This window comes from Homo sapiens, chromosome X, assembly GCF_000001405.40.
Source record: "Homo sapiens chromosome X, GRCh38.p14 Primary Assembly".
Taxonomy (NCBI): Eukaryota; Metazoa; Chordata; class Mammalia; order Primates; family Hominidae; genus Homo; species Homo sapiens.
The window spans coordinates 52,367,175-52,378,834 of record NC_000023.11 but is presented as its reverse complement, the minus strand read 5'-3'; the positions used below and the strand labels follow the sequence as shown (position 1 = coordinate 52,378,834).

General features: G+C 40.8%; 1 protein-coding gene across 2 annotated transcripts; it reads right to left on the bottom strand.

The window, feature by feature from the left end:
• Positions 1–3,154: 3,154 nt before the first annotated feature.
• On the bottom strand, positions 3,155–9,814 carry XAGE2 (X antigen family member 2). 2 transcript variants are annotated; one of them, XM_011530836.3, is made up of 5 exons: positions 9,621–9,814; positions 8,740–8,842; positions 8,163–8,268; positions 6,166–6,291; positions 3,155–3,266 (listed from the first exon to the last, which is right to left on the bottom strand). In XM_011530836.3, exons 2-5 carry the CDS (start codon positions 8,818–8,820, stop codon positions 3,244–3,246), a joined length of 336 nt encoding a protein of 111 aa, XP_011529138.1. In that variant the 5' UTR covers positions 8,821–8,842; positions 9,621–9,814; the 3' UTR covers positions 3,155–3,243. The 2 variants fall into 2 exon arrangements, with proteins under 2 accessions (XP_011529138.1, NP_570133.1); NM_130777.3 differs by having other exon boundaries at positions 8,740–8,828.
• Positions 9,815–11,660: the final 1,846 nt, after the last annotated feature.

Genomic DNA, 11,660 nt, shown 5'->3' with positions numbered 1-11,660 from the left:
ACTCCCCTCTCCTGAACCATCAATGGCTCCCTCTACATTGGATCATTCCCAAAGCTAAGGGGGAACTCACCTTCTTCTCCCATGTCCTTCTGTAGCTACTAACATGTTTATCTGCTGCCCTTCAAAGGAAAACTGCCTCAACTTATACAACTAACTTCACTGGAGTAAATTTTCAAAGTTACCTAGAAAGGAAAATGAGCCAGAACAGCCAAAACCATTCTGAAGTATAACTTTGGGGAACTCACACTACCTAATATCAAGAGTCATGTTAATTCTATAGTAATCAAGAGAATGTGGTATTGGGGAAAAATCAACAGATCAGCAGGAAGTCCAGTAATGGACTCACAGACATGATAAACTGATTTTCAGAAAAGGCACAAAGGCAATGGAGAAATTATCTTTTCGAGAAACTGTCTTGTTTTACTCCTGCTACTTGGCCACCACATTCATTGTTTTTATCCCCCTGGGTCCCTTCCCTGTGTTTCTCCTTTGCACTTCAGCTGCTCTTCTGTTTAAGGGTCTTCTGTAAAGGTGCCCTCCTCCCCCCACCAACAGTGTGACAGCCTCCACAGCAAGTACCACATATTGTTGGTTGGTCTTCTCATTTCCAGCATCCAAGACATTTCCTATAACATGGCAGTCATCAATGCATATCTGTTGAATTAAATTATCAGTCTTTTGTAATGACCCTAACAGAAAAGCATCCCCTCTATTTAGGAGTCATTATTGGAGATGGTATGTTTCTAGGCACCTTACATATGGTTTTGTGTCAGACACTATAGGGCAAAGGCTCTGCCATGGTGTCTTGGAGATCTTGCAGGTCACCACATAGGACACGTAGGCAAAGCCAGACTGCAGGCTAACCTGAATGTTGGAAGAATACCTGGATTCCTTTTGTTGCAAGGGGAGATAGGCAGCGTGGTGGGAGCTGCCACAGGTATTTTCTCACCAGCTCCCTATCTGGTTGGAGGTTGACACGAGACCATTCTTTATCCATTTTCCTAGTTTCCATTAAGCACGGGCCTTTCCTCATCTTAGGGTACAACTGTGGAGTATAAAACTGCTCACTGTCTTAGGGTACAGCTGTGGGCTCCTCACAGGCAGAGAGACCCACCGTCTGTGCTGTCATTGTATACCTCCGATTCAGTGTCATACTGTGGGACTAGGGACACAGTGCTGACACAATGCTGACCTTGCTTTTACTTTGCCTGCAATCAATCAACCATTTGGACCCATTTGGGCTCATTGTCTTCTTATTGGTCAAATCTATGGATGTGTGACAAGCCAAACTAACAACGGCAGTGGGGCTCCTTGCTGCCGTTAGCCACTACAGGTGTACTGCTTGAACACTTGACACACTATTGTGTTGTGTGGTGTTGGCTGACCAGAAGGACTTATTCTTCACGGCATCACACACAGCAAAGGGCACAGTGTTCGGCACATTCCATTGACTTAGGGTTGGCCTTGTCAGACTGCGTTTATTCACAAACCAACTTTAGAATTGATGTCATGTCTGACACCAGCTACCCTGGTTTTTAATTAATATATTTATTTAAATTAAGTAAGTCTCAGAAGTCAAATTCATTTAAAAAGGTAACTTGATACCCCTACTTGAAATTTAAGAGCAGTTATTACTTACTAAACATGTGGTTGTAAAGGCAAAGGGAATGAAAAAAATTGAAATTTTAAAAGAAGAAATATAATAAACCAAATTTATCTACAGTGTATTGCCTAATCCATATGTTATTTCATTTATTCTTCATAACAAGTATTTAGTGTAAATATTCTAATTCCTACTTTAGAAATGGGGACATTGCCTCACAGATTATAATATCTTGCCCACCCCCTCAAGGCCAGTGTGTAAGAGGCAGGATGGAATCCCATGGGTATTTCATGCCATAGCCTATAAGGAGACAGTGTAGGTAGGACCCGTCATCTTGCTTCAGCAAGTTGCCCTGGTTCCTTGCCGCTTACTCCTACCTAGGCCCTAATTCTTTCATCTAGCTCCATAGCCTAGGGACTTCTCACATATTTTGTGGCAAATGGAACACCCTTAGAAAAGATGCAGATGAGGGGACACATAGGGTGAGGTATGCAGGGAGGGGCAGGGAGTTTCCATGGCCTCTACGGGCATGCTACCCTCCATGTGTTCAGCTAGCCAGAAGCTCTCTGAACCGTGTCCTTTTGGGTTTCATGGAGGTTTTCATTATGTAGGCATGACTGATTAAAATGTTGGCTTGCCATTGGTGAACAACTTAACCTTCAGCCCCAACCTTCCCTGAAGTTTGGGCATGGGGCTGAAAGTCCCAACCCTCTAATTCCTCATCCTAGAGCTCCTAGGGACTGCCAGACATTGGTCAACTCACTAGCATACAAAAAGACATCACTTTATAGGAGTTGTATGCCAGTAAGCACAGTCAATGACCAAATATACATTTCACCATACCACACTTGTGTATCAGCTAACTCAGAATACAAAATATCAAAAATGATACTTTTTTTTGAAACAGAGTCTTGCTCTGTCATGGAGGTTGGAGTTGCAAGTGGCGTGAACATGACTACCAGCATCCTCGACCACCTGGGCTCAAGGGATCCTCCCACCTATGCCTCCAGAGTAGCTGAGACTATAGTTGCATTCATTCATTCACTCATTGTAGTAGAGAGGGGTTCCTATATTCCCCAGACTGGTGTCACTTTCCTGAGCTCTAGCAATCCTCCTACCTCAGCATCCCAAGGTACTGGGATTACAGGTGTGAGCCATTACACCTGGCCACAATTCTCAATAGTATCAAAATACCTGGGAATGAAATTAACAGAAGAGGCTGGGCACGGTGGCTCATGCCTGTAATCCCAGCACTTTGGGAGACCAAGGCAGGCAGATCACGAGGTCAGGAGATTGAGACCATCCTGGCCAACATGGTGAAACCCCATCTCTACTAAAAATACAAAAATTAGCCAGGTGTGGTGGAACGTGCCTGTAGTCCCAGCTACTCAGGAGTCTGAGGCAGGAGAATTGCTTGAACCCAGGAGGCAAAGGTTGCAGTGAGCCAATATCATGCCACTGCACTCCAGCCTGGCGACAGAGCAAAATTCCATCTAGAAAAAAAAAAAAAAGAAAGAAAAAAAGAAATTAACAGAAGATGTGCAAGACTTCTTTGGAGAAAAGCTTAAAACTTTATTAAGATATTTTAAAGTAAAATATCTAATATAAAAACAGTTTGTGTTGTTTCAGCTTATCTTCCTTTAAACCTGTGATTTCCCTTCACCTGTAATAGAAACATAACAGGTGGAACATTACTAGCAGAACTGTATTTAGATCACATTAAGATATGCAAATGACACCAAAGTTTTTGTTTCGTACAGTGGACTAAGACCATAAACCCAAGAGTCACCCTCTGGCTTACATTCAATTAGACCTCTGTGGAGACTTTGGAGATAAACTTCCAAACATATACATTATTAATATTTTTTAAACACACCCTGCTTTCTAGTGCTACAAGGAAACCAAAAGACAGTCCGAGGTCAGAACACATTAAATCAAGTGAAACTCTTAAAAAGGGATTTAATGTATAAAGCAAAAATTGTGTATAATTTTACTAAAAATATAACAAATACACACAAAAAAACTAAGAAACAAAGGAATTTATAAAAAATGTACAATTTAATATTTTGGCTTGAAACTATGGTCTGGATGTCAAATAGGCTCCTGGAAATAGTATGAAAACTATCTTTTAAGAAAAGAGTTAATGTCACATTAGAAGCTGCATATGCGTGGTGAATAGAAAGGACAGTATTGCATTTGTTTTTTCCTCTATTGTGCCAAAGTGCAAAAATGTTGCTTTGGGTTAGTTTACCCTTCTGTAGATATTAAGGTATGGTAAACATCTGTCCCCAGTTTTCACCTATAGTCCTGATGTTAATACAAATATCTCTTTTTACACTTGAAAAAATTCCCCTTTGTATAATTAATTATATGATCGCATTACTTTTAATCTATCATTATCATTATTGATATCAAAATATGAAAGAGGTATATATCATGAACAGTATGGCACGAAAAAAAAGAAACGGAAAGGGAAATGGAGATGTAGAGGAAGACATCTAGAATAACTAAATATTTATTTCTAAAAGTAAATATTATCAAGGGACAACTAGCAAATTTCACAAGTTCATGCACAGTCTTTGTGATGAATAGATATTCAGGTACTACTGGGATATATTTAATAATGCATGCATTCCTAGCTTATCAACCATTTCATCTATATTCCGAAAATATTAGAGTTTAAGAACGTATTCACTTTCAGCTGGGCGTGGTGGCTCACATCTGTAATCCCAGCACTTTGGGAGGCCAAGGCAAGTGGATCACCCGAGGTCAGGAGTTCGAGAACAGCTTGTCCAACATGGCGAAACCTCGTCTCTACTAAAAATACAAAAAATAGCCAGGCATGGTGGTGCATGCCTGTACTCCTAGCTACTCAGCTGAGGCAGGAGAATCACTTGAACCTGGGAAGTGGAGGTTGCAGTCAGCCAAGATCATGCTGCTGCACTCCAGCCTGGGTGACAGAGCGAGACTCTGTCTCAAAAGTAAAACAAAAGAAAACAAAAGAATGTATTTACTTTCAGTTATACTACATATTCAATATCTGTGTCTTCTTCATATTCTGTATTGTGCTTTTCCCATTTTCTTCAAGACTGGAGAAACAAATAGATAGTCTATTCATAGCTATTTTTAAAATAAACAATGTGTTAAATGTATTACTTTTGGATTAGTTTTCCTAATCCAAAATCCAGGTTCCTACCTGTCTGTTATTAAGTACCTCTTTCCTTTTCCATTAGGTTTATTCTGTTGCTCTTTTATTATTATATTGATTATTACTTTATCATGTAATTTGCTATCTATTCTAATAAGATGTGCATTTAAGGCTGTGATCTTCCTAAGAATACAACTGAGGCTTGTTCAATCGGCTCCTGAAAACTATCTTTTAATGTAAATAGTTTAATGGAATGGTTCAGCAGTGCAGAGTAAAACATTTAGGTAATTTCTTCCCTAAACATGGAGTTCTTCCTTTAAATTCAGAAGCTCTTCTCATTAACAGTCAGCAATTTATAAAAAAAAATGTGTAAAAGATACTTATGTTGACTACTCAAGAATTAGTACATTATAGTCTTTGAACTTTAAGTCCTATCATCTGATGTCTCAAGGCAGAAACCTGTAATATGTAACCTATGATATGGTTAGAGGTGATTATATCATGTGTGTCTTTATTACACACAGTAGCTCATGAAGACTGACAGGAGAGCAAAAAGCATGCTTAGCACAGGCATCTTACACCCACCTTGAGCATGACTGACCTACATGCATTCTCCCTACTTCATTGGCCACAGAAAGTAGACTGTCTCTTGCCATTTTATTATTCAGTCATTCAAGGCTTCACGGTGGGAAGGCTTTAAAATACAATTATTCTTTAAAAGCCAGATAATTCAGAATTTGACAAAATCCAAGAACACTCATTCAAGTCTCCATGCTGGAAAACAAACATCAAGCAGAGTGCCTGCTCATTTTCTTAGGAGCAATGAAATCTCAGCTCAGATATTGTAATTGGACTGAAGCTGATTGTTAGGAAAAACAAATCATGGGAATCAGAATATCTTTCTATTCTCTCCAACAGAACCAGAGCATGCAGAAATCAGCATTGAAACGGATTTTAATACATTTGATCTGCATTCACCATTTTCAATAACAGCAAAGATGGGTGTAGAATTTATGGAATTTGTCCAGATTCTCACAAATTGTCATAGAGCTGCTACTAGAATCTCCTTCAGTACTCAGCATATTTCACACAGTCTGGTATTACAAATGCATTATGTATTTGTTAAAAGCAGAAATTAGAAAAGAATCTGAAAATTGTTAGCTGTTGGTTATACTCAGAAGTAAGAAAATGCTGTCATATTTGATGATTCAATATGGCTTTGACCCAATTTGTGTCTGTATCTGAGAGCATTTAAGTCTTGCAGTCAGGCATTGGGATCTGAAGTACCTTTCAAAGAAAGTGTGTATTTGAACACTGTTATTAAAGTGGCAGTAATATTATCTCTCTATGATCAAAAGTATAATATTGTAAAAAATAGAAATCACATAACTTTGTGTCTTAATGAATAACACACCTGCTTCTGGCATTTTAAAGTGCTCTGCTTTTGGTAGAATCTTCCCCTTGACATCAGTACCACCTTCACATCCATCCCCAGTCTTTGTCTGACATAGCTCCTGGAGATCGGCTTCCAGGTCAGGCACTAAAAAATACAAAGGTTATTGAACTTGAGTACAAAAACATGAAGTATAAATAAGGAAGTAATAATATTCTATTCCACAGAGTTATGACATAAAAGCCTGTAGGCTAGTGTGATAATAAATGTGATGCAAAGCTGTCACACTTTTGTTTTCCTGTATTATGAATTCCTATTTTATTTGTTTTTTAATACAGGGTTTCACTCTGTCATCCAGGCTGGAGTACAGGGGTGCAGTCACAGGTGACTGCAGCCCTGACCTCCTGAGCTCAAGTTATCCCCCTGTCTCAGCCTTGTGAGAGGCTGAGACTATAGGCACATGCCACCACCAAGGCTAATTTTTGTATTTTTTTGGCAGAGAAAATTTTCTGGTGTTTCCCCATGTTTCCCAGGCTAGTTCCTAACTCTCAGGCTCAAGGGACCCACCAGCCTCGGCCTTCCAAAGTGCTGGGATTACAGGTGTGAGCCAATGTACCTGGCCTGAAATCTAATATAAAATGACAATCTAAGGATAAATCACACTACACCTTCATTTCCTATACTTTGCCAGTGTGCATTATAAACAGTGAGTATCAACTATGTAAGATATCTGAAGTTTGCTGCATGAATAGCATTTTAATAATAACTCAAAGATAATTTTCTGAAAGACTAGATCAATGTATTCCTGGGCTTATGACAAAAACTTACAATTGTGACAACCATATCTTGCTGAGGTAATTTGAAAATTATTTGGTTAAAATTAATTAAAATTATGCTTAGGTCCAAAGGCCCTAAATGTAACTTTTCATAAATAAATCCTATTGAGAATATAGTACCAAAAATAAGAGGAAAAAAAGTCACAGTTTTCCCATGAGAATTCAGGAAATTGAGTGAAAGAAAGTAATGAGTGTTGTTGACAGTCATATTCTGGAAACCTCTTAACCGTGAACTGCTAAAATAATCCATGGTCCAAATTCCGTCAACTTTAGCTTGAAAATGCTATCTGTTGAGGACACAATTTCTGTTTCATGATAATTGTATCATACTTTGAGTTTTCTAATTATAAAAGTATTTAGGCAACTTTTAAAAGTTCCTTAAAAAGCATACTAATATACCTACCTGTATGCCAGTGTCCTGAACTATCCACCTTTTACCAAACATACTGTCAAAAAATACTGATCAAAGGGAACAGTGGCTGTCATTCATTGAGCCCTTTTCCGGATTTGCTATCCTGCTTCACTGAATTTGTTTTCTCCTGAGCCAATACTCAAGTACCTTACAGTACAGACACATTCGAGTATTAAGCGTTTTAAGCAAAATAATTCACGTTTTCTAATAACGTAGATGTTAGGAAGAACACAGACCTTGGAACGTAATATGAATTCTGCCTCCATGACTCAAGCGTTCTTGGTAAGCCTCTATCTCTGAGCAACCATTTCCTTTTTATAAAATAGGGCTAATATCCCTATGCAAATGGGCTTTATTCAGGGTGTTATAAGGTAGGGTGACTTGGCACTCTATATGCTATAAAAGGGTGCTTATAACACTGTGGACACCATGGCTGAGCCAATCATACAGCAACATTCTAAGAAGATCAAATTAATCAAGTGAAATAATGTACATTTTGATACATCAAATTAAACAGTTTCATCTGATTTAGCAAGGGATGTATTTTCAAGCATACAAAATAAATCTTGAAAAAAAGAGAAGATTTATTATATCCAGGGACTGCATGAAGCTGCAAACTATACTCTTCACTTTTCCAGCCTACTTTGAGCAAGTGCTTGAGATCCTTTCCTAATGTTTTCTTTCCTCCTATTACTGGTCATGGCATAAGGCATGATGGACACATAGGCCTCCTTCCCCCTATAGGCATTATTTCTTTCCTTTCCCAGCACCTTGAATCTCAGCTGCACCCTGATCATCTTCTCTCTTCTGATCAGGTGTAGGATTCCGACTTTTAGTGGGTGGTTTCTCTTCTTTAGGCTCTTCATCAGTGGGTTCCTGGGACAAAGGGGAGGCAGTATGTGTGCAGATAAAAAGTTTTGTTAGTAATACATGTCAATAATACAAATATACAGAATACACAGGTATTTCTAATCACAAGTAAGTCTAAAGACACTTCTCCAACACTGTTCCACATACTTATTCTTCACAAAGTTACTCTTCCCAAAGAGAGGTTACTCTAAGACAGTTACCCTCAAAGGCTTTGGAAACCATTTTAATCTATGTTGGGTTGGATGTGTGCAATCTGTTATCAGTAAGCATGAGGAGGAAGTCATGATGGGGAACACAAGATTATCCATGAAGGCAAAATCAGATTGTAATACTCTTGGATTAGTCTTTCCTTCATGAGATGCATGATCATTTTTATCAACATGGAAGACCTTTATCAGTGTATCTATACTAGTTCAACAACACTATCACAAAAGAAATTTCTGCTAATAAAAAACATCAAAATATTAAAGCACTCACAAGCATAGCCCCAATCAGCTCAGGAGGCTGTAAACTTCTTCTTGGCCTAGGCCTATATGTTGATCTTCCTCGCCAACTCATATTTCACTCTGCAAACAGAATACTGTGATTGGGAAAGTGTGTTTGAGAGGATAGCTGTATTTGACCACTTTCATGGCCAAATGTTAAATTTCAGTTTTTAAAAAAGTTTGGAAATAATTTGAAAGTAAGTCCCAGGGCAACTAGAAGTGTGTACATCTTCTGAATCGAATGCTTGCATAGCCACTTAAGTTGGGCAATCTAGCAGAGCAATGTCTTAATGCTCCTGGCAAAAGATACAGGATATTTCTGATGAGATTTGGTTTCACAGTTGGATTCTCCATAGTGGAGACATTTAAGTTTATACAGCTAGAGAATTAAAACTGCAGTGACCACGGCTTTCGTCACACACCCATTTGTTTGGACGATTTCCCTCCCTAAAATCAAGGTTTTGTTGGAAAGCACAGTCCCGCCCATTCGAACCTCCAGGGTGGAGTTGAGAAGTTGTGACACATCACTGGACGCTCCTCGCTGGACATTTCTACCCGGAGCTCTACAGACCTCGGGGTCGCGGTCACCAGCTCATAGCATTCCCACTTCCCAGGCCCCTTTCTTACCGCTTACACAGCCCATTCCTGGGTCCCTACCAAGAAGTCTGGAATCTGTCCCATTGGGAGTTCCAGGCACTTTCGGGACTCAGATACCTCCAACAGCACCCCGAGCATTCACCCTATCTTCATCTGGCTCCCCTTCACTCCGCGGCCCACCTTCCTTATGACCTGGAAGCTTTTTACTCTCTGAGGCCACAGACCACGCCGCCTGACCCTCTGGAAGCCCGCTCACTCCTCCTCACATTCACTCACATTTCAGTTCCTGGGAGGACTGGCCTGCGGACCTATAGGCTGCGTCTCAGTAGGAGAGAAAGAGTCCAGACGGCTGGAACGTGCCCCTCACACTCTCACAGCTCCCCAGCGGTCACCACGTGGGCAAAGGGGTCGAAGGGAAGATGCCCAGTGAACATGCACACTGAGGCAGGTGTCCAAGGAACATGCACACTGAAGTCGGTGCCTGCGTTGTGTGCTGCAGTGCCCCGCCTCGCCCCACCCCATCCCGCGTCATGCAGTCCTCCCTCCCCTCCCTGGTTCCCACTGAGGACTCTGGAATGCATCGTCTGTAAGCAGTTTCATATGCCTCGCGGACTCAAATACCACAAATAGTTTCCCCCTTCAAAACTCACTGCTTGTTTACCTGACCCTCCTCCCATCTATGGTCCTTCTCCCTCCCTTGTCCGGCACCCCCACCACAGCAAGGCCATGGCTGCATCGCTGCGTGTTAGAAGGACGGGGACCTCAAAGCCCTTCCACCTAGGAGGCCATGGATCGTGCCCGCAGGCTCCTCCTCACACTCACTCACACTCAAACTTCTAGGACTACTGAACTGCAGACCTACTGGCTGACTCCTAGTCGGCAAGACAGAAGGAAGTCACGATGTCTCTTTGCACAGCTCTGCTGGGACAGAAGGCAGACAGTAAGGCGCATGGGCAACAAGGGACTTGGGCAGTAAGGGGCGTTCACACTGAGTCAGGCACATGCAAGGCCAGCCAGGGTTTTCCCACTGTCCCAAAACCAGAATCCCCAGTATGTTTGTAGTAGAAAGAAAGGGACTTAAGAGATATTTTTTTTTCTCTCTCTCTTGTCCTACCATTCTCATGCATCCAGAAACTTTGGGAACAGAGAGTCCCATGTCACCCTTAGTGGTTGATGTGTCTCAGAAAGACCTTTTGTGACAGAAATAAATTATTTTAATGTTTATATTTATACATGCTTTTTTTTTCCAGACAGGGTGTTACTTTGTCGCCCTGGATGGAGGGCAATGGCATGACTTTACCTCACTGCAGCCTGGATCTCCTGGGCATAAGCAATACTCAAGACGCAGCCTCCGAAGTAGTTGGGACTACAGGTGTGTGCCACCATGCCCAGCTATTTTATTTATTTATTTACTTAGAGACAGAATCTCACTACATTGTCCAGGCTGGTCTCAATTTCTGGGATCGAGTGATCCTCCCACCTTGGCCAATTTTTATTCATACTTTGATTAATCACTTCCTTCTCTGGTCTGAGGTTTTCTGCCATGCTACCAATGAATAGAACCACTTCTGTAGACTAAATAAATTCACACCTCTTCCTTTTTTAGGTGGTATTATTGCACATTTTAATCTCTGGACTGGTAACTGATTTCCCTGAATATACCTGTAGGTCATTCAGACAGTGTATGGTTCAGAAATATCCATACATATGATGTGGTTTGACTCTGTCCCCACCCAAATCTCTCCTTGAATTGTAGTTCCCATAATCCCCACATGTCATGGAAAGGACCCTGTGGGAGGTAATGTAATCATGGGGTGGTTACCTTCATGCTGTTCCCCTGATAGTGAGTAAGTTTTCACAAGATCTAATGGTTTTATAAGGGGCTTTTCCCCTTTTGCTCACTCTTCTCTCTCCTGCTGCCATGTGAAGAAGGATGTGTTTGCTTCCACTTCTTCCATGATTGTTAAGTTTCCAGAGGCCTCCCCAGCCCTGCAGAACTATGAGTCAATTAAACCTCTTTCCTTTATAAATTACCCACTCTCAGGTATGTCCTTATAGCAGCATGAGAACGGACTAATACAACATTGGTCCTAGGATTTAAACTTAGTTTATTGTGACATGATGTACAGCAGTGGTGACTGTGCTCATCATATACTCTACTCCCCAAATAGCAGCCAAATAACCTGTTCATAAGACAGCGCTGACATTATTTAAATAAAGCTATAAGGTAGAGCACTACCTCCACAGAGGCACTAGTATGTCAGATGTGGAAGGGCTTTGGGTATATTTGTTGTGCTTTTCATGTCCGGTATAAAG